The sequence below is a fragment of the Homo sapiens genome, chromosome 1 (assembly GCF_000001405.40).
Source record: "Homo sapiens chromosome 1, GRCh38.p14 Primary Assembly".
Lineage (NCBI taxonomy): Eukaryota > Metazoa > Chordata > Mammalia > Primates > Hominidae > Homo > Homo sapiens.
This window is the reverse complement of record NC_000001.11, coordinates 241341343-241363065: the sequence shown is the minus strand read 5'-3', so window position 1 is coordinate 241363065 and position 21723 is coordinate 241341343. Positions and strand designations below refer to the sequence as shown.

The 21723-nt window shown below is 40.7% G+C and overlaps 1 protein-coding gene and 1 long non-coding RNA gene across 22 annotated transcripts in view, besides 1 other annotated feature; one reads left to right on the top strand and one right to left on the bottom strand.

Annotated features, from left to right (window-relative positions):
• Positions 1–1459: 1459 nt before the first annotated feature.
• On the bottom strand, positions 1460–5814 carry LOC124904601 (uncharacterized). Of its 2 annotated transcripts, XR_007067051.1 has the most exons (3): positions 5584–5814; positions 5124–5243; positions 1460–2610 (listed from the first exon to the last, which is right to left on the bottom strand). It is a non-coding gene; the product is annotated as an uncharacterized LOC124904601 (long non-coding RNA). The 2 variants fall into 2 exon arrangements; XR_007067052.1 differs by having other exon boundaries at positions 1460–5243.
• Positions 5815–5835: 21 nt separating this feature from the next.
• Positions 5836–21723, top strand: part of RGS7 (regulator of G protein signaling 7) — a 582489-nt gene continuing 566601 nt past the window's right edge. For 12 of the 20 annotated variants that reach the window (NM_001374806.1, NM_001374811.1, NM_001374814.1 and 9 more), the window contains exons 1-2: positions 5861–6167; positions 7240–7367. In NM_001374806.1, coding sequence (NP_001361735.1) covers positions 7290–7367 — 78 coding nt within the window. In that variant the 5' untranslated portion in view covers positions 5861–6167; positions 7240–7289. Of the gene's footprint in view, positions 6168–7239; positions 7368–8385; positions 8490–21723 lie in introns of those variants that run through there. The other 8 variants (NM_001282773.2, NM_001282778.2, NM_001282775.2 and 5 more) reach the window with 4 other exon arrangements.
• Positions 5960–6009: a silencer, noted in NCBI's record as "silent region_2006". NCBI's record gives its function as "represses an Ori minimal core promoter by ATAC-STARR-seq in GM12878 lymphoblastoid cells {active_cell/tissue: GM12878}" and the evidence as "EXISTENCE:reporter gene assay evidence [ECO:0000049][PMID:35858748]".

Below are 21723 nucleotides of genomic sequence, written 5' to 3'. Positions count from 1 at the left end.
GGAAGAGCAGATCATTTCCATCCACAGGGAAACCTGACGCTAATTCAGTTCAGTTCGAGGTTGTTGACTGGGTTCTTCCAGTATACCCAGTTTTCAAACAGAATCATGCTAATGGACTCAATCACCCAGTAACTCAGCACATAATTACTGGATACCTATATATCAGAATTTATATATATTCTGATATATACTATATATCAGAGTTTGTTCTAGACGTTGAGGATATAGCAGTGTGAACAGAAGAAGAAAAATCTATGACCTTATGGAACTCAAATTTTTCTAGGAGACAGACATCAAACATAGATAAATTGTACAGTATGTTAGAAGGAGACACATGCTCTGAAAGGCAAGTAAATCAGTGTAAGGAGGAAGCAGAGTACAGGGAAGGTACATGGTTTTCTATAAAGTGGATAGAGTAGCCCTCACTGAGAGGATGCCATTGGAGTAAAGCAAGAGCATTCAAAGCAGAGGGATCAGCCAGTGCAAATGCCTGGAGGTGGCAGCATGCTTGGAATGTTTACAGAATCCAGGAGGGCAGTGTGGCTGGAACAGAGTAAATAAGACGGAAAGGGGCACAAATTGAGGTCAGATGTGGCAGAGAGTGCTCCAGAAGTGCCTCTTTCGCATTTTAAAGACATCTTGCCCTTTATGCAACATGGAGTGTTTTGGAGGATTTTAAGTAGAGAAGGGCCGTGATCACGCTGGCAGCTATGTTGAGAACAGACATAGGTGGGAAGGGATGCAAGCGGAGACCAGTTAGAAGGTTACTGCCTTCAACCAAGAGAGATTCAATGGTGCCTCAAAGCAGGGAGGAAGCAGAGGAGATGTTGTGCAGTGACCAGATTCTGGATACAGCTTCTAGGTAGACCCGGTGGGACTCACTGATGGAACTCCATGTGAGCTGTGAGAGAAAGGAAGGACTCTCATCTTCTGAATGAGACTGGTTGCTCCTTGAGGACAAAAATCACCTGTTATATTTCTTTATGATCTTTGTAGAAACCTAAGAAGGCTTCATGCACAATAAATCCATGACTAAGTTTTTGTTAAATGAAAAAAGGAGGGAAAAAGCAGGTCTATATCAATAGATTTGGGGTTCCTATATCCATAATGATTTGCAAAAATAGACACTATTTCCTGTATTTCCACAAAATCTTAAAAACTGACTATTTTTCCCAAGGTAACGCTACTGAAGCTAAAAAAAATCTTGAAATGTCTTTGTTTGGGCTGGAATTCATTACCTTGATGAGGTAACAGGTCTTTTATCTGCTATTTAGAAGTTCTGCCTGGCATGTAAAATGGATGTATTATTACCATTTAATTTGTTTGACAAAAATATTAATAAAATACAAGGCTTACAAGAAAAATAGTAAAATGTTTTGGATATAATGATTGAGAACCACATATTCACACGGTTTTTAAAGAAAGGACCCCCCCCCCACAAAAAAACTACTCCACAATATCTATACTTTCTTTTTTATTCTTGTTTACAACATAAAGGACTCCATTATCTAGAAAGAAAGCACAAAAGAGAACATGTTGAATCTTATGATGGGTTTTTGGAGACGACCTAGTCTAATTCACTAAGTTTATATTTGAAAAATACAAGTCGTAGAAACGTTAAGGTGATAGACATAATTTTGTTTCCAATATACAGTAACACAAATTCTGAGTAGTCTAATGAGGACTAACAAATAACAGTAGAAAAATTGTGAAATATGCTATTTCTTGAACCTTCCTTCTTCATGTTTGCTTGGCAACAGTAATTAGACACGAACAATCTTGAGTCATAACTGCCCAGAGAGCACGGTGAGAGGTAGGTGTGTGGAAGGATGGCAGATGAGGGAGAAAATAGAATGAGAGGCACCTTGATGGGAGAACTCTAGCTTTTTTAAACTCATACTGTTGCTAGGAGGCATTTGTGCATAATTTTTCACAGGGCTTTACAGTCAGACACAGGCATATTTGAGTCAAGACTCTGATATTTAGAAGGTGTGCGATCATGGCCAAGTTTCCTAACTAGGACATTGGTGTCTTACATACCTTATAGGGAAGTTTTGTCAGCTATGGTAAGACTATTTTTAATATGGTTAGAGACAGCAGGAATTCAATACATGATGTTTTTATTACTAGTAATTTTCCTAATGGGTTTCAGCATTTCTTCCCTTTGTGTCTGAATAGAAACTCCTTCACCCTTCATATAGTAGATATCCTGCTAGTCCTTGAAGAGCCCGGTTTGAATGTCAATCTCTCCTTCAGTAGTTCATACACTGTCATTCAGTTTTTCACTTACATGCAGCTATTTGTCTCAAGATCTTATCTACCTAAGTTGGATTTCTTGTAGAATAGTGAAAAGAACCCAGAAGTCTTGGATTTGAGCTCTGCCAGCCACTCTTTCATGAAAGTGGAACCATTATGAATATAATGGAATCAGGGATGTATTATGAGAACTTACACAATTGTTGAGAAGGTTATTTTCCAGAAGAAGGAATTCACAGATCTGAGGAAAGTCACTATTGGGTTTCCTGAGGTCCTTGTGTGTATGGGCAAGTCAGAACTTCCAGGGGAATCTGGGAGGCCTGCCACATCCAGGAGGGGGACCCTGAAAGAAAGCTGGAAGAATACTCGGTGAAAAGCTTTTGTCTTTGCCTGGCTACTGCCTCTTTGGATCCATGTTAAGGCCCTTGTGATGGGTGTGTGGCTACTGTTGATCAGCTGTGCTGGAAATTTGGAAGATCTGGGTGTGAAGTGGGGGAGGGCCAGGACATGCTAGAACCCTCCAGGTGTCTGCATGTGTTGTCACAGCAAACTACAAAGACCTTGAGAGAGGAATAGATACTGTTTCACTCTGTTTCCCAAATCTTGCAAGAATTCGTCTTTGGGCCAACCGTACTTACATGCATACACTTACATGCATACGGGCAAGAGGATCCTGAGAAACATTGTTCCAGCTAATGCAGTCGATAGAGTACAAACCACCACTGCCACTTCTTGGCTATGTTGGTTGTATTGGGAAGTTGACCCAACCTTTCTGATCCTCTCCTTCCTCATTGTTGTATTGATGTAAATGAGATAACTATTATAACTATAGGGTCATTAGTAAGAATTAAATAAGATAATGCAAAAAAATCCATTACAAAATACATAGCTGGATGCAGTGGCTCATGCCTGTAATCCCAGCATTTTGGGAGGCCAAGGTGGGCGAATGACCTGGGATCACGAGTTCGAGACCAGCCTGGCCAACATCTCTACTAAAAATACAAAAATTGGCCAGGCATGGTGGCACGTGCCTGTAATCCCAGCTATTCAGGAGGCTGAGGCAGGAGAATCACTTGAACCTGGGAGGCAGAGGTTGCAGTGAGCAGAGACTGCACCACTGCCCTCCAGCCTGGGTGACAGAGCAAGACTTCATCTCAAAAAAAAATACAATTGCAAAATACAAAAGAACCTATCAGATTACTGTTACTAGATACATCCATTCATTTCATTAATGTATGTTTATTGTGCATCTACTATGCACCAGCAACTATACTATGCCTAGGATCTGAGGCAGTGACAATATCCTTGCTATCTTCAAGCTGAATCAGGCATAATTAGATATTCAAGTGGAGATGTAAAGTGAGCATTTGACAGACTGGATTTCAGGGGATAGATCCTGGTTAAAAATATACACTTGGAAGTTATTAGTGTTTAATAATGAAATACTAAAATGTATGAGCCTGAATTGGGTCACTTTAGGTACAGTGCATGTAAATTGAGAGGAGAAGAGGCTTAATGACTAAGATCCAAGATGCTTCAGAATTTGGGGGTCAAAAAGACAAAGAGGAACAAGCAATGAGAGTGAGAAAAAGCAGCCAGTAATGCAGAAAGAGAAATAATAGAGAGTGGTGTCCGGGTTAATTTATGCTGAAAAGTCAATTCATATGACAATTGAGAATTGACCATCAGCTTAGCACCATGGAGGTCATTTGCCAAAGTGGAACAGGTTCAACATGGAATGGAAAGATTTTGGCATAAAGGGAAGAAGGAAAATAGGGTGGCAATAAGTGGAAAGGGTGTCAAGAGATATTATATATATGTATGTTTATGTGTGTGTATAATTTATATATATAAATTAAATAGAGCCAATTATATATATGATAAATAGAGCTATATATATATATAGGCTCTCTATATATAGAGCTTGGGTACAGCTTCCTATGAGGATGGAAACTTTACCCAGAGATGCAAAGGAGGAGGAAGACTGCTTCCTTCAGGCGGTTCTCTCTTAAGAGGAAAATGGTCAAACTGAGTGAGCATACCCAGTTGTATTTGCAAATTTATTAATCCAAGTCATGCAAGTCACATCAACTTCTCAGGAGCAGACTGAACAAGAGGGAAGAGAGAGGGGTTAAAGGAGGGATAAGTAGATTTCAGCGAGAGCAAAAACGTTAAAGAAATATTTCGAGAAGTCGAAAACGAAGAGAATTTTGCTGAAGAAGATTCTAAGTTCCAGAGGCTACAGTGGAAAGATGTGGGGAGTTGGAGTGGGAGACAGGTCAGACTAGAGTGTGTGTAGTTTGGGACAATGATATTTCTCCTGTAGTACTTGGAACAGGGGCTAGGTTAGATAAATATTTGTTCCTTGAGAGAAACCTGACAAGACCTGCATGGGGCTGGGGTAATACATTGGTCCACATGGACCCCTGTTTGAGTAGAAGTGTTATCTCCAATAAGGTCTAGTCTGCTTAGACCAAGGGGTCAGGAAAGGCTGACCTTGATTATCTTCTCCTTCTGTCCCTCCCTCTCCTCCACACCTGGCCCAGTAGAGGAAGGAAAACTAGATTTACAGCTGATCTTGATTATCTTCTCCTTCTCTCCCTCCCTCTCCTCCACAGCTGGCCCAGGAGAGGAAGGAAAACTAGATTTACAGCGGCCCAGCCCTTCCCCCTGAAAGCCAGAGGCACAGGTTGCTTTACTACCACCGAGACAAAAGTGATCTGTCTCCTTTATGTCATTCTAATCCTTACAGAAGAATTTGTGGCAGCAGTACGAAGACTATAGCTAGGAGGATCAGCACCTCAGAAGCTCTTTGAAAATTGCTAGAGGATGAGGGCAGTGGGCAAGAGGAAAGTTCCTCTGAGCACCTTCTGTTAAAAGGAGAAGCCAGGCCTTGGGGATGTTCCTTCAGTTTCACAAGTGGCAAGATTTTCACCTCCGGTTGGCAGCTTTCAAATCGTTTCCCATTTCTCCAACTTAGGAAGAAGCTGTGAAAACCGCAGGCAAACGGGGATGAATGATTCATTTGGTCCTGGCCATTTCCTTCATTCCTAGGGTGTCTCAATATCTCTCTACTCTGTTATTTAAGCATAATAATAATAATAATAATAATAATAATAATAATAATAATAATAATAATAAATCATCTGCTTCCCTGGGACTTTCAGCGGAGTCGTTAGGCACGTGATGAAACCTTGGTTTGCACGGGGCTCCATCCATCCATTCATCCGTGCATCCGTCCGTCCATCTGTCCATCCATTCACTAGACCACCCACCCACCTACCACCCACCCACCCATCGCACAGCCTTCCTCCCTTTCCGGCTTACACTGGGCGTTAAACTCCGGTCTCTCCAGGCCTCCGGCGCACGTACACACGCGCGGGCGAGCGGGCGGGGTGTGCGGGAGCGCGGGCTGGCCGCGCCGGGGGCAGGACTACAGCCTCCCGAGGGGCGCGAGGGCGGGAGGCCGGGGAGGCCCGGGAGGCCCGGGCGGTGTGGCGGCGGCCGAGCCGAGCCCATCCGAGCCGGCACCTTCGGACGCCCCTGTCCCACGTGACTGTCCCCTCCTCCCTCCTCCCAGTCGCGCGCACGGGCCGGGCGTCTCGACTCCCGCGCGCGCTCGGCTGGTCCCAGTCCCCGGGAGAAGAAGCGGAGGAGGGAGAGAGCCAGCGAGGCGGCCCAGGGGAGCGGGCGCGAGTGGCGGCTGCCGGAGCCGCCTGTGCACGGGCGGCGGCGAGGCGAGGGTGGCGGTCGCCTGAGCAGCTAGAGCCGGGGCGGCGCGGAATCCGCATCCGCCGCGAGTGTGATGAAGCTACCCTGCCTCGCTGCTCCGCTTGCCGCCAGCTGACACCGCCTGCACCCAGCCCGCCCGGGAGGGGAGACGCCGCGGGGCCGTGACCTTGGCGGAGGAGGTAAATAGGGAAGGCGGGCGGGGAGGAGGCAGCGCCACCCAGAGCCCTCCCGGCCCCCGGCCCGCACCCAGCCCTCGCTCTGCGCAGCGGGAGCGTCCGCGGGCGCAGGGCGGCCGCCCCCGGGAGCCCCGCGCCGGGGCTGGGCTACGGGCGCCGCGCGCACCCCGCGGTCCACGGTGCTGAAACTGCTGCCCGGCTCCGGCGGCCGCCGCGGCGCGGGGCACAGGCTCGCCTGCCATTTGCTGCTGCCGTGAGAGCGAGCAAGGGGAGCAGGGGCTTGCCTGTTTTCTCCTCTTTGGCTGGTTGCTCTGGAGGCTTCTGCAGTTAGGCTTTTACCCACGGTGACCCGGGTAAAATGGCCTGAAGGCTTGACCTCCCACTAGTTCTTGTTGCCGGGACATATTCTGGTGTCTTCTTGCAAAAATTAGGCAGGATTACCTCCGGACTTCCGAAGCGAAGTGGGGAGAAAGGAGAGCAGCCGGTGGCTGGCAGCGCAGGCAGGTGAAAGTAGGCGAAGCATATACTCCGGCTCTGTGTGGGAGACCCGGGGGAATAGAGAGGAAGCCCGTGCGCTGGAGAATGACACCGGGAATGGGCCTCTCTGATGGGCTGCAGGTGGGGACACTAGACAGATACCTAGGAGAAAGTGTGCTAACCCGCCCCCCACTCCCCCACCGCATCCCCCAGGTGTTGCCTTTCCACCCTTTGGGGAAAACATCACCAAGTTCAGATGCAAGTATTGGGAGAGAAGAGAACTCTGTACTAGGAAAATGCTACCCACGAGTTTTTAGGGTGAGCATCAAACACTTCTCAAAATGAGTATCCAGAAAATGAAGTCAGCTAAAACAATAACCAAATGGCTATTTCTACCTGGAAGATTGTAATTTCTTACAATTCCTTGAGGTTATTGTAGGTGTCAACTCACTTTTTAAAAAATCCATGTCCTGTGTCACTTTCTCCAGCCAGCCCCAGTTTGTAAGAACGCGCCATGTGGGGTGGGTGCTGTGAATGATGATGATGAATCAGGGGAGTCCCACTGGGATCTCACTGAAGTCTCTCTGACCCTTTGCAGGGCACACTGATAATTCTTGTATCTTGAGAGTGGACCAAGTTTTGGGTGACATGGCCCAGGGGAATAATTATGGGCAGACCAGCAACGGGGTGGCCGATGAATCACCCAACATGCTGGTGTACAGAAAGGTAAGAATGTCTTCAGTTTCTTGGAAAACGGGAAACTTCCGGCTTTCTCGATTTTTTTCCCCCTCTAGATCAGAGTATGTATCAACTTTGTGGCCTTGTGGATTTCCCAGATCATCAGTGATTATGTACTATATACGTGAAAGTGATCTGACATTCTCAAATGATGCATATGTGGGGAAACACACTGAAGTAAATGAGGCCTCCTCACGTGTTCCCTGCTGGTTTTGAATAGATTATTCTGTCCTGAGCAATGACAGCACGTTTGGGCATTCCAGATATTTTGGTTGTTATACACATGATTTAGTAGCATCCGTAATAATTTTAGAAGCTTTTTCTTATACCCCCTTTAAACATTTAGGTTATAATAATGATATAAGCATATCACATTTTAGAAATAAAAGTAGACCACTTTGCAATTTTGTGGCAAGAGAGACTGTGTCTGTGTAAATGTATGTGGTTTACTAATTTCGTTCTTGACTAAACAATTCTAGTCTTTTTTTGTCTTAGCCTAAATTATTTTTTACTTTCTGTTACTTTTATGACTTGGGGTATTTATGGGTATTTATATTCTAGTGCCGTATGCCTATTAAATCATTAAATAATATTTATCTTGCAGAGTTGCTTTTTTTTGGCCACAAATAGATTTGACAGCCTTATACATTTAATAGCAATGCTACTGGCAACAAACTTTTAGACACTGAGCAACCATAATAAAGATGCGTTTAACTATTACATGTGCTTTTGAGTGATTGCTTAGGCAGCTTCACTCTGGTTATCATCAACAATCTTACTAAAATTAAGGATGCAGTGTTCTTCTGCCCCAATCATTTTTATTGCATTTTATAGATGATTTTTTGAGTATATTATCTGGAGTGCTTATTGGGCAATATTTCTTTAGTTAACACTAACAATGGTAAAAAGGAAGTCATGCTTTGAAACACCCCAAAATTGTTAAAGGCTTTAATTAGAGAAAAGCCCATTGAAGAGTTCAAGATGTTTGCATTTCTTTCTTTTTCAGCAAGGGGATCAGAGCTGATTATGAATAAAGATGAAAGACTATGTGCTACTTTAACCTGCACTAAATCAAAACTTTTCATCCGTGTAGCCCAGAATCATTAAAAGGTAGTGATGAATATGTGTTTGAGGGAATATTGCTATGGCTTTAATGGAAAGATGCACAGGCGTCCTGGTACAATGCTAGCTGTTTTATTCTCTAGCCTGGGCGAACAGTACTATACTGTGTACCTATGAATGCATTTATATGTGTCTGAGATAAAACAGTATGATGGGAAAGATAAATCAGAACTTAGCTTTCTATGTTAGTCTTAAAGCATTCCAACTGCATAAATCAGGAAAATAATCTACTTGAGTTTAAATTATTAGTATTGTATTTTTAAGTTAATTGAAATAACTGGATACCTGTCTATTCTATTTAGAGTTGGTTTTGAGAAGAAATATTTTGGGGGGAGTTCGGTGGTTTCAAATAAGTCATAATATTTTGTGTTTGGTAAGACTCTGAGTATTGTAATATGCAAGCTGTGAGAATTTTGAATTCTATCTTATGGGTGTATACAATGTGAAGAGTTAGACTTTTGGTTGGAAAATTATAGTAGTAAGCTATTTCCGTTAGGCTAAACAATTGTATTCCCTCTCTGTTTCCCTTTAAAAGATTAAGGACTGAGTAGATTGGACACCTAATAGTTATCTTCATTAGAAATAAACTAAATATGCAGCAACTAGTGTGTGTCATTCAGTCAGTTATTATGAGAACAAAAAAAGAAAAAATAAGAAGACAGGGCTTTCAGAAATAGTTATTTGACTGTTTAGTGTACCTGAGCCTCATATTGGTAATTTTGGGTTTACTCTACACAGTGTTGTATAGCATCGAATCGCCATTAATTTTACTTTTAAGTTAACAGACTGTAATGATTTCAGGAAGAGAATGTACTACCTCATTTTTTAAAGCATGATTATTTTGTTGATTAAGCTGGGAACTGCTTGTGCTACTCATTTTTCCCTTCTTTTATTAGCTTTTTGCTTATTATTAGTGACCACATATAACTTACTTGTCAAAGAAAGATTTTCTTGATAAGGCATTATTGGAAAAAGTAACTCCTTTCAGTACATTTTACTCTTAATGCTTACCTATGGATTGTCTGTCTATTCTTGTATTCTCTGAGCATATGTTTTTTGTTTTTCTTTGTGATAGAAATAACAATATATAAATAATATCAGATAATGTATAAAGAGACACAGCGTCCTTGCTTATCATTTGCTAGTTATCAGGTCAAATGGTCTTTATCTGTGTGTAGACATAGATCGTGACATCACATATTTCGTGTGTCCATTATGCTTCTATTTTTTCTATCTTATATGGGCTTTCCATTCAATATCTTCTCAGTAGAGGCCAAATTTCAATGTGAAGAACAACACAATAATTGGAGAGGGGTGTTGGTTGAATATGTGTGTTAGGATATTTCAACTGCTCTGCCTTCATAAAGGAATAAACACTAGATTACAATGCTTATTAATTAGGAAGTCAATCGAAGACTTAGAAAAAAAGTTCAGTTCCAATAGGACATTGCTTAGTAACAGTGGAGAGAAAGGATAGAGAAATTGCTGTTCTATTGACTCATGCCCATTTCCCCTTCTACTTCACTATTGAAGCATCGTTCTTGAAAGTGTGTTCTGAACTGGGAATATTCGTGGTGTTTTCCCTCCTCATGACACCTCCTGTTTACTTATTGCATATGACTCTGATGATTTACACACACTCAAGATATGTATGTGCTGTTTCCATTTTATCTTCATAGGCTATTGGTTTCCAAAGTGGAATACACAGAAAAGCTGGGATGTGTAAATTTCTTGTGTGTGTTTGATGTTTCTCTCGTTATCACTATCCTCATACAAATTACAGGAGTTCCTCCAAATCACAGAAAGATTCCAGGGATCTGTTTTCCATGGAGAAGTCCATAGGAATCTTATGGAAAAAATGTACAGCGGATAAAACTCTGATTGTTAAGGTAGAGTGGATATCACCCTATTGAAGGGTACAGGTGATGGTAATGTTGCTTCATGATCCGGATTAGGGTTGGTACTTGCAAGTCAGTCTTGGATGTTGGCCAGTAGGTTTTTGGCATAATACAGGGAATCTCAGTAGAGTTCATTTGATGTCAGAGACACATTTTAAAAATCCTTATAGGCAAATTATTTGCCTTATCAGTTCTTCTGTTTAGAGTGCTGTCTTTTTCATAAGCAGATGATTAAATTACAATGGCTGTGGTGTTTTATGTACTTGAGGGTGTCTTGTTTAAAAACACATAAAATTATGAGGCTTGACTGCTTTTATTCCTGGCACTTTTTAGGCCTCCTTCAGTCAGGCCCCTAACTAGATTAGAACTAGTAGTAATCAACTGCCTTAGGAAGAAGAGACCCAACTAACTCCAAGAGGTGTTGGATTCAGATCAGCTTCTTGAAGAATCTGTAGAGGTGACAAGTCAAAACTCAGTGTTATTTGGTGTTGATGGATCTTAAACACTACCCCCGTTTTTGGTCGGCTTTAGACAAAACTCTCCTTTGTGGGGGCAGCACTGGCCGTAAAGAACAACTGAGTACAGGGAGAGACACTCCAAATTTGGTGTCTGGCCAGCATGCTGTCCACTAGACAGTATACATCACTTTCAGTCCAGCAGCTGACATTCCTGCATTTGAAAAACAAAATTTCTAGGTCACCTTGGGGCCAGAGCTTCAAATTGGCTGGAATGCTGGCTTCTCACTAGCAAGACTCCTCAAAATGCCCAATAATTTCTGATATTATTGCAGCTATCATTTATGCTCAAGCTGTCAGAAAAGAAAATGAAAATGTTTTCCTCATTCATTATCTTACTGCAGTAAACATGGTTTTGGAAATAGCAGACTTACCAAGTTCACTGTTCCTCACCCCTCTCCCCCTTCCCCTCACCTTTCTCCTATGCCCATTCTCTCCTCCATTCTCCTGTGCTGTCCCTTCATCCTTATATAGTCTCTTGCTTTGCATTCGTTTGTTTTTATTTTTTCTTTTCAAACCTGACTTAAAGTTGAGGACATAATTTGCACTGTTTATTTAGTTGTAAAGGAGGAAACAATGCCTTTTGGAGAAGAGAATAGATGCCAGCCTTGTTACTTGTGAAGCTCAGGTACCTGAATAAATCTTTCACATATGGTATCATATGGTGGTACTGGCAAAAGGTTGTTATTTTAGGGTTAAGATTGCTCCATTCTATTTTTTTTTTTTTTAAATAAAGTCAGGGTATTGCTCTGTTGACCAGGCTGGAGTGCAGTGGTGCAATCATAGCTCACTTTAACCTTGAACTCCTAGGCTCAAGCTATCCTCCCACCTCAGCCTCCCAAGTAGCTGGGACTACAGGTGGGTGCCATGATGCCTGTATAATTTTTTTGTTTTTTCTAGAGATGGGGTCTCACTATGTTGCCCAGGGTGGTCTTGAATTCCTAGGCTCAAGCCATCCTTCCGCCTCAGCCTCCCATACTGCTGAGATTACAGGGGTGAGCCACAGTGCCCAGCCGTGACTGCTCCATTCTTGAAGAGCAAGACAAGACCACTGGCTTTTCTTATATGAAGTCACAGTGAGAGCTATCACCCAACCAGGAAGAGTACTTACGCTGATTGGCTTGATCTAAGCATTGTCTTTGAAAGCTACTTCTGAAGTCAGCCTGTTTTATGAGAGGAGACATACTTGCCAGAGAGAGGAGTGGCTTGATTTCTTCTCTGGAAGAGACTGGGCCACAGATATTACTGGTCTCTTAGCATTGAGCTAGCTGACATATTCTACATTAACTCAGTGGGTTTGTCAGTGCAGGACTGCCCATCTGGTCAACGCTGAGGGTGTCGATGTTTCTCGCCGAAATCCCCGTCGTGAAAAATAATCTTTGGCTTTTTTTTTTTTTTTTTTTTTTTTTTGAGATGGGGTCTCATTGTATTGGCCAGACTGGTCTTGAACTCTTGGGCTCAAGTGAACCTCCTGCTTTAGCCTTCTGAGTAGCTGGGAGTATAGGTATGCACCACCGTGCCCAGTTGATCTTTAACATTTTTGAACCTTAGTTTTCTTAATCCGTCTGGGTTTACTACATGTTAGCAGAGTGAGGAATATATACAAGGGACAACAAGACAAAGACGCACTAGAAAAGGAAGGAATGTTTGTAAAAGATCATTATGAAAGGCATGGTCCTTTTAAGCCCTCAGATTTCTAAATTAAGGGCTCAGATGGGAGGCAGGCACTGAGAGAAGGATCTTGCCATTTCTGAAAAATTTTTAAATGGAGTGTCTTTTGTAAATCAGATTATTTGAAAGAAACTTTCTGGACCAAAGGATGTTGTCTACCCTAAACATATTCAGATCTGTTTTTATCTCAGTGATACTAATACTGACATGTACCCTGAGATAAGATAGGACCATCATTGATATTTCCATGATGATATTTCTTGATGAGAAGTAGATAGAAGGATTTTATGAGTAATCATTTAATGATGAATTTTGGATAATAATTGAGTTTAGAGCAGGAGAGTCTTCCAGGGTTGAGCTCTTTCCTTGCCAGTTGTTGTTTGTCAGTGCTACTTGTGGGATTATGAGAAGGATTTGTGGCCTGAATTTTATTTCTTTTATTTCCCACTTCCAATCTCCCTGAATCTAATTGATCAGAGGAAAGTGCAAATGTGCAAAAGAGAAGCCCTCGAGGGATTTTATTACCTTCTAATAGCCTCTGTGGTTCTAGTGAGTGATGGAAAGCAGGGTATTTTTAGGAAGTGTGGGTGACAGAATGTGATCACTGCAGAGAATGTGGAAATACTTTGAATTTGGACAGTTTAGTGACTTTAATGTTAAGTCTCTTTGAAAACAAGATTGTGGAAAACGAGCAACACAAATAATTGGCCCTTGCTTTCCACTTCATGACAGTGATAAGGAGGCATATGGATGTCAGGGTTACTCAGGCTTCTATCCTACAAAATATCAACCCAATTATAAAATAATTGTAGATGATAGAGTGGGTGCCCAGTTCCGTAGGAAACAAAGGCCCACTTCTTTCTGCCATTTGCCCACAGCCATGCAAATTTAACTTGGCTTCTTTTTAATGCCCTTTGTCTTGTGTCTAATTAACAAAAGTCTCAGGACATTGGAACACTAACAGGCAATCATGAACTCAATTCCAGCTCCACTGAAATTGCCACCTGGTCTAGACTAGAAAATATTTTGGCTGAGTGGCCTATCTGGAAAGATACATTGTTGTTTTGTCGTCTGGAAAAATATATAGGAAATGGCAGTTTTGTGAAATTAGCTGGGTTCCTAAAAAGTTTGAGAGTCTTCTTTGGTCCTTTCTGGTGATTGACAAGTAAAAGTTTTCTTAAGGAGACAATGGGTGGAAATGGAGGAAGCATGTGCACTAGAATTGGGAAGTCTTGGTTTTAAATCTCAGCTCTGCCACTGTTTAGTTGTGTGGCTGTGGTTTGGTGACCTAACTTCTTTCACTGCAGTTTTTTAATCTATAAAGTGATAAAAAAATAAAAAATGTTTTAATGTTTTCTTCATAGAGCTGTTTGATGCTAGAATGGGATAGCCTGGGGAAAATGTCTTGCATAGAACCTAGTATATATTAGGTTTCCAATACATGCCTGCTAGTATAATTAATATTATTATCATTTTATCTTATTACTATTCTTCAACAAAAATTATTAAACACCCGATATATGCCAGGTGGGGTACCCTATGTTACCATATTTTTTGATAATGAAAGAAAAGTGAATGTTTCCACTACCTCCAGTCATATTTTTCTGGTAAGATAAAGAGGAGGCTTCTGTAGGATGCATTGGTAATACCATTTTTATGATACTTAAAATGTCCCGTCTTACATTGTTTAGCCCTATCTAGACAGCTTCCTCTACTCATTAATGGGAAAGTCTTTGGCATCTTGTCTTATATATCTTGGCAGTCTGCACAGTTCCTTGGGTATTATGCAAACTATATAAAGCCTTAGAATCCAGGAATTTCAGAGGTGAAAGGAAACTCAGAGTTAATCTACTTTTTCATTTTGCAGATTATGAAATTTAGGATCAGAGAAGTAACACAATTTGCCTGAAGTCACGCAGCTTGAATTCAGGTCTTTATTTATTTGTCTTTCTATGGCCTCTCTTTCTTTCTCTGTCAATAAATCCACTAAGACTTTGTGTTTGTAATTTAGTGTCAGTGAATAATCAGCATCCTGGTTGCTTCATGGGCATCGTGGATTATACCAGGATATCTAGTCAACCCCTCTAAATAGATTAGATGCTTTTTTTTCTCTGACCTGTAGTTTAGCTCTTGGAACCCCAGGAACGATAAGATTGGGAACTTAGTCTGACCTATTCTGGTGGTCGTTCTGTTCATATCTGATCTTAGCTGGAAGTCCTGGATTTGATGCTCTATGGCGATGCTGTCCAATAGAACTTTCTATCATGACCGAAATGTTCTATATGCTCACTGCCTGATATAGTAGCCACTAGCCACGTGAGGTAACTGAACACCTGAAATGTGGTGAGTGTTATTGAGGACCTGGATTTTAAATTGTAATTAATTTTAATTAATTCAAATTTAACTTTAAATGGTCTTGGTGGCTAGTGTCCATTGGATTGGACAGCACAGTGGCAGGAAGTAAAGGACTTTGAACAAATAGCATCAAGTCCAAGACAAGAGATAAAACAATATGCTATACTTAAACAGTTGCATACAGTGCTTAAAACAAAGTAGAGTTCAACAAATTATTTTTTTTTCAAGAGAATACAACAGAACTTTTAAAGGAAGACCATAGACCATGGCCTCGTAAGGGAATGGTAGATATAATGGTAAATGACACTGATTATTTACTTGGTTTATGACTTTTTTTCTCTTTTTTTGAAACTTTCAGTGGTCTGAAGTGAGTGACTCTCCTAACATCAGATGACATAGGTTGTCTTTCAGTAAGACAAAGGCCTGCATGTACCATGAATGTACTGTGCAGGGTGTTTATGGGGCCTCAGATGATTTGCTGATGTTGAAAGTATTTCAATTCATCTCTATTTCATAGCATCTCAGAGATGTATCACAGCCACTCCAATTCCTAACAAGACTGAGCAAAAACCAGAAGCTTCTGGGTAAAAGGGATTTAAAGTGTTTAGAACCCTTTCTGAGAATTTTAAATTGAGGTATAAAAGGTATAAAAGGAATCTATTTTTTATAATCTCTCTTCTCTTGTCTAAGTCTCTGAACTTTTAAAGGAGGGTGATAGCCCATGCAGAGTAGTAGTCATGAAGGGTCAAAGGACCGCGAGTCAGAAGAGCTGGATGTGAATTCTCACCCCACCCCTGAGTAGCTATGCAAGCTTGGGCAAGTGTCTCAACTTCCCTTAGTGTCCTTGCAAAAGCCATCTTTGCAAAACACTTCCTGACCAAGTCTTCCTCTGCTTGCTGTGTGTCCCCAAGGCTGTAGATCATTTAGAAGCCCAGTTGACATGATTTCCTCCATTTACTCATTGGTAGAAGATGTCAAGAACAATACAAATCTACATGACCTTCATTGTCCACACAAAGCTCTCCATGTCAGCCAAACTGGTTTCATAGAAATTTTTTCCTCTAGTACAGAAATCTGTGGACATTTTTTCATTGTTAATGCTTAAGATGGTGTATGCCAAGGGATTTTGAAGAAAATTTGGTACCATGTAGAGAGAATAGATTCATACTAATATGGCTATTAACACATAATTAATATTATTACAATGTTTTTTCTCTTTGAACTTTTCTAGGTGCATTCGCTCTGGAAATCAATGTCATTTGTCACTGGTTCTAAATTTTATATTTGGTATTTTGTTTTTAGGCTTTTGGTTGATTGTTAATTATTGAGTGTTTACTTACTGTGTGCCAGGTCCATTATGTATATGACTTGTTTTCTTTAAAATAATCTTCCATATTGGTTATTAGTATTCTATTTTTCTAAAAATAAAAAGCTGAAAGGCAACTTACGCAGACTGAGTGACCTCCCAAGACTAGTGGCAGAACTGTCGAGCTCTGTGAGGCTGGAAACACCTGTTTTTCACTGCAGTGTCTCAGGACCTAGAACAATGGCACAAAATAGGTGTCCTCGAATATTGGTTGCATAGATGCATGAATGAATGAATAAAATAGTGAATGAATGCCTGGTCCAAAGTCCCTACTCTTGCCTCTTTACTGTGTTGCTCTCTAGATAAATGAGTGAATGGACAGGACATTCGAATTCAAGTCCATTCATTACATATGCATTGGCCTTGGCTGTGTATGGGGCAGCTATGTGTATGGTAAGTGCTGAAGATAGAGTTTTGGACAGTGCAGATAGGTCTGAACCATCGCGGAGCTTATTTACCATGGCAAACACAGATGCCAAGCACCTCATCATAGGATGATTAATACCATGAAAGAGGAAGAACTGACTGATATAAATTATTTATTTTTGGTTTTCTGGTTTCTAAAATAAATACTATGTTAACCTCTATTTTCTGTTGACAGTTTTTTTTATCAAATTTTATTTTTATTGCTCTCTGATAGCAAATAATGTAATAGAAACACCTATTTTAAGTATGTTTTACATTTGTATTGAAACTCTGCAAGTTGAAAAATAGAAACATTTAAGTATTTATTTTATTTTATTTTTGAGACGGACTCTCGCTCCATCACCAGACTGGAGTGCAGTGGCGTGATCTCGGCTCACTGCAATCTCTGCCTCCTGGGTCAAGTGATTCTCCTGCCTCAGCCTCCCGAGTAGCTGGGGTTACAGGCGCGCACCACCATGCCTGGCTTATTTTTTGTATTTTAGTAGAGGTGGGGTTTCACCGTGTTGGCCAGGATGGTCTCAATCTCCTGGCCTTGTGATCCACCCACCTCGGCCTCCCAAAGTGCTGGGATTACAGGTGCGCCTGGCCTTAAGTATTAAATTTTTTATTGTGATTTGTTGCTTCTTTGATTTGGAAATTGGAATTTGTGATTTTTTCTTCTCCAAGATGCCATACCAGGCCTTGCAGTTTATATTGCAATAGTCTCTAATTCAATGTATCTTTTAAGTAGGAGCAATATTCATTTTACTCACTTTTATAATAGAAAAATAGGCGTTGAGAAATGTAGTTATTTCCAGATAAATATACAATCATGTTAATATGTTGGTTTTTACCTTTATAAAAACTCTTCTCAGGGAATTCTAGTATTCCACCTTCATGATTACATTTTAGTTTTCAATACAGTATCATGTCGTAGTTCACTGACTACCTTTTTAAACTTTTATTTTAGGTTCTGGGGTACATGTGCAGGTTTGATATATAGGTAAACCCATATCATGGGGGTTTGTTGTACAGATTATTTCTTCACTCGGGTATTAAGCATAGTTATAACCCAATAGTTATTTTTCCTGATCCTCTCCTCTCTCCCATCCTCCACCCTCCGATAGGCCTCAATGTGTGTTGTTCCCTTCTATGTGTCCATGTGTTCTCATCATTTAGCTCCTACTTATAAGTAAGAACATGCAGTGTTTGGTTTTCTGTTGCTGCATTAGTGTGCTGAGGATCATGGCCTCCAGCTACTTCCATGTTCCCACAAAAGACATGATCTTGTTCTTTGTTGTGGCTGCATAGCATTCCATGATGTGTATGTACCACATTTTTCTTTATCCAGTCTGTTATTAATGGGCATTTATGTTAATTCCATGTCTTTGTTATTGTGAACAGTGCTGCAATGAGCATTCGCATGCATCTGTCTTCATAATCGAATAATTTATATTCCTCTGCGAATCTGAGTGCCTAGCACAGTGCCCAAGGTTTAACAGCCTCTGACACTTAGTAGGTGCTCAGTAAATGAACTAAATTGACCTAAGCTAATGTTGAAACTCCTCAGGGATTTACTGTGACAGATGAGGCAAAGGTATTGATCATATCCCTTAAAAAACAAAATACCTCTTTTCATAGGTTCTCAATCAGGCTTTTCTAATTCTGGCAACTCAGGATTGTTGAGGCTGTCTAAATTGGCTAGCAGGAAAGAAGAAAAAAATACCCTCGTAATTCAAGAAATGTACTTGTTAAGCTGAAGGGCTTGTAGCCAGACTGTCTGGGTTAAAATGCACTTAACGTGAATCCAGTTACTTTACCTCTGTGAGTCTGAATTTCCACATCTGTAAAGTGGTATATTGTTAGTATTATGTGAACAGTGCATGTAAAGCTTGTATAAATAACAGTTCTTCAGTGTATGTGAACTGTTCATTGTAATTGTCCAGAAAAGGGACATGGATTTTCCTACCAATGGAAGTGATGACATCTAAGGAATATTTTCTTTTAAAAATTTTCTTTACCTTATTTTAGAATTCACTGCTCTTCAGTGGCTTGATATTTTGTTTAAAACTGTTGTATATGGTAAATATAAAGCAACATTTACAATTTTTCATTGTGGCATAGTTCAAACGAATACAAGAGTGGAGGAAATAATATAAAGAACCTTCATGCACACATCACATAGTGTCAACAATGATTCACCACAGGTAAATCTTGTTTCATTTCTACTTCCCCACTTCCTCTATGCCCCAGTTGATTATTTTGAAGCAAATCCCGTATATCATTTAGGATATAAATTTTTTTAGTTTGTACATAAGGCACTTTTAAAGAAGATAAAGGTATATAAAAAGGTAAATAAAATTACTCTGTTATTTGTCTTGGATCCTTAGGTAAGGGACACCTCTTACTCAACGTGCTTTAATTTCTTTTCATATTTACACAAAGAAGTCTTCTTTACTTTTTCTTTTTTTTGTTTTTCTATTGTGGTAAAAATATATATCATAAAATGTACCATTTTAGCTATATTTAAGTGCACAGTTTAATGACAGTAAGTACACTTCACATTGTTGTGCGACCATTATCACCATCCATCTCTAGAACTTAATCTTCCCAATCTGAAACTCCGCACCTGTTGGACAATAATTTCCCATTCCCCTACCAGTCCCATTGCAATCACCATTTGACTTTCTGTCCCTATGAAATAAACTGCTCTAGGTACCTCATATAAGCAGAAACATGTAGTATTTATTCTTTTTTGACTGGCTTATTTCACTTGTATTATATGTGACTGGCTTATTTCCATAGCATAACGTCCTCAAGGTTCATCCATGTTGTAACATGTGCCAGAATTTTCTCCTTTTTAAAGGCTGAATAATATTCCTTTGAATGTATTTACTGCATTTTGTTTATTCATTCATTTAACAATGGGCAGTTGGGTTACTGCTACCTTTGACTATTGTATATAATAGTGCAGTGAACATGGATATACAAATATCTGTGTGGAGTCTCTGCTGTCAGTTCTTTTGGTATACACCCAAAAGTGGGATTGCTGGATCACCTGGTAATTGTACTTTTAATTTTTTTTTTTTTTTTGAGACACAGTCTCGCTCTGTCGCCCAGGCTGGAGTGCAGTGGTGCAATCTCAGCTCACTGCAAGCTCCACCTCCCGGGTTCACGCCATTCTCCTGCCTCAGCCTCCCGAGTAGCTGGGGCTACAGGTGCGCACCACCATGCCTGACTAATTTTTTGTATTTTTAGTAGAGACGGGGTTTCACCGTGTTAGCCAGGATGGTCTCGATCTCCTGACCTCGTCATCCTCCTGCCTCTGCCTCCGAAAGTGCTGAGATTCCAGGTGTGAGCCACCGCACCTGGCCTATACTTTTAATTTTTTGAGGAACTGCCATACCGTGTTCTCTAGTGGCTGCACCATTTGACATCTCCACCAGCAGGACACAGAGGTTCCAATTTCTCCACATGCTCACCAACACTTGTTATTTTCCATTTCTTTGGTAATAGTCATCCTAATGGGTGTGAAGTGGTATCTCATTGTGATTTTGATTCACATTTCCCTAATGATGGAGCATCTTTTCAAGTGCTCACTGGCATTTATATATATTCTTCGGACAATCTATCAGCTTTAAAAGGCAGGTCGGATTGTCCGCACTTTAGGAAGGGCTTTGGCCTATGGACTATACAACCACTAAGATTTCTGTCTAACCAAAACTCTGTTGTTTTTGTTGAAACTTCTGAGCTAGCTTTTTGATCATGGGGAGGTTTTTAAAGTCTGTGTAAATTTTGTAATTGCTTTTTACATTTACTTATTAGCTCACTATCCGCTGAGGAAAGATGAACTGAGCTCCAAAGGCTAATTTGTAATTTCATTAGCAATTGAAATAATCTCATGGAGGTTTTTTCTCTTCTTGTAGCACCATTTGACCTTATTAGAGTGACTGATGTTACTTTCATTTACTGAGATCTCCTTCATTCCACTGGACGTTAAAATAGCACGTGCTAAATCTCTGCCTGGGGGTAATATTTTTAGCTGCTGGTGTGCTGATGGGCCTAATATTTTCCTATTCCTGCCTTTATAGTGAGATTTTTATGATATTCGCTCTTTCTCATAGGACTGTTATTTCTAGCTGACTAATATCCAGGCAGTATAAGACTTGAAGAGTACCAGAGACCAGGTGTGGTGGTTCATGCCTGTAATCCCAGCACTTTGGAAGGCTGAGGTGGACAGATTTCTTGAGGTCAGGAGTTTGAGACCAGCCTGGCCAACATGGTGAAACCCCATCTTTACTAAAAATACAAAATTAGACAGGTGTGGTGGTACGGGCCTGTAATTTCAGCCACTCCGGAGGGTGAAGCAGAAGAACTGCTTGAACCAGGGTGGCAGAGGTTGCAGTGAGCTGAGATTGCACCACTGCACTCCAGCCTGGGTGACAGTGAGACCCTGTCTCAAAAAAAAAAAAAAAAAAAAAAAAGAGTTGAAGAGTGTCTACTTGTACCTGTGTGGATTTGAATCCAGGCTCTCTCGCTAACCAGCTGTATAAATTGGTCAAGTTACTAAACCTCTTCAAGGCTCACGTTCCCTGTCTGCAAACTGGGGTAATAATAGTACCTGCGTCTTAGAGTTGCTATGGTGATTAAATGAGCAAAGACTTAGTACAGGGCCTGGCACACAATAATGCACAGTGTTAGCCGTTGTTACTGGGTTGGTCTGTTTCCTTGTCTTCCTCTCTTTCTCTCTTTCCCTCTCTCCTTCCTTCCTTTTTACTTCCTTTCTTCCTTCCTTTTCCTTCTTCTCCTTCTCCTTTTCCATCATTTTCAATCCTAATAGTTTAAAGGACTAGCAGCATGTAACTCCCTGTAGCCTTTTACACTGAACATTTTAGTTTTAGTAAATATGACAAATTATGTTTTTCATTTTACCAAGTATTTTTACATGTACGTATATATATTCCCATTTATATGTGAAAACCTGTGGACTTGTTATTAATTATTTTCACTTT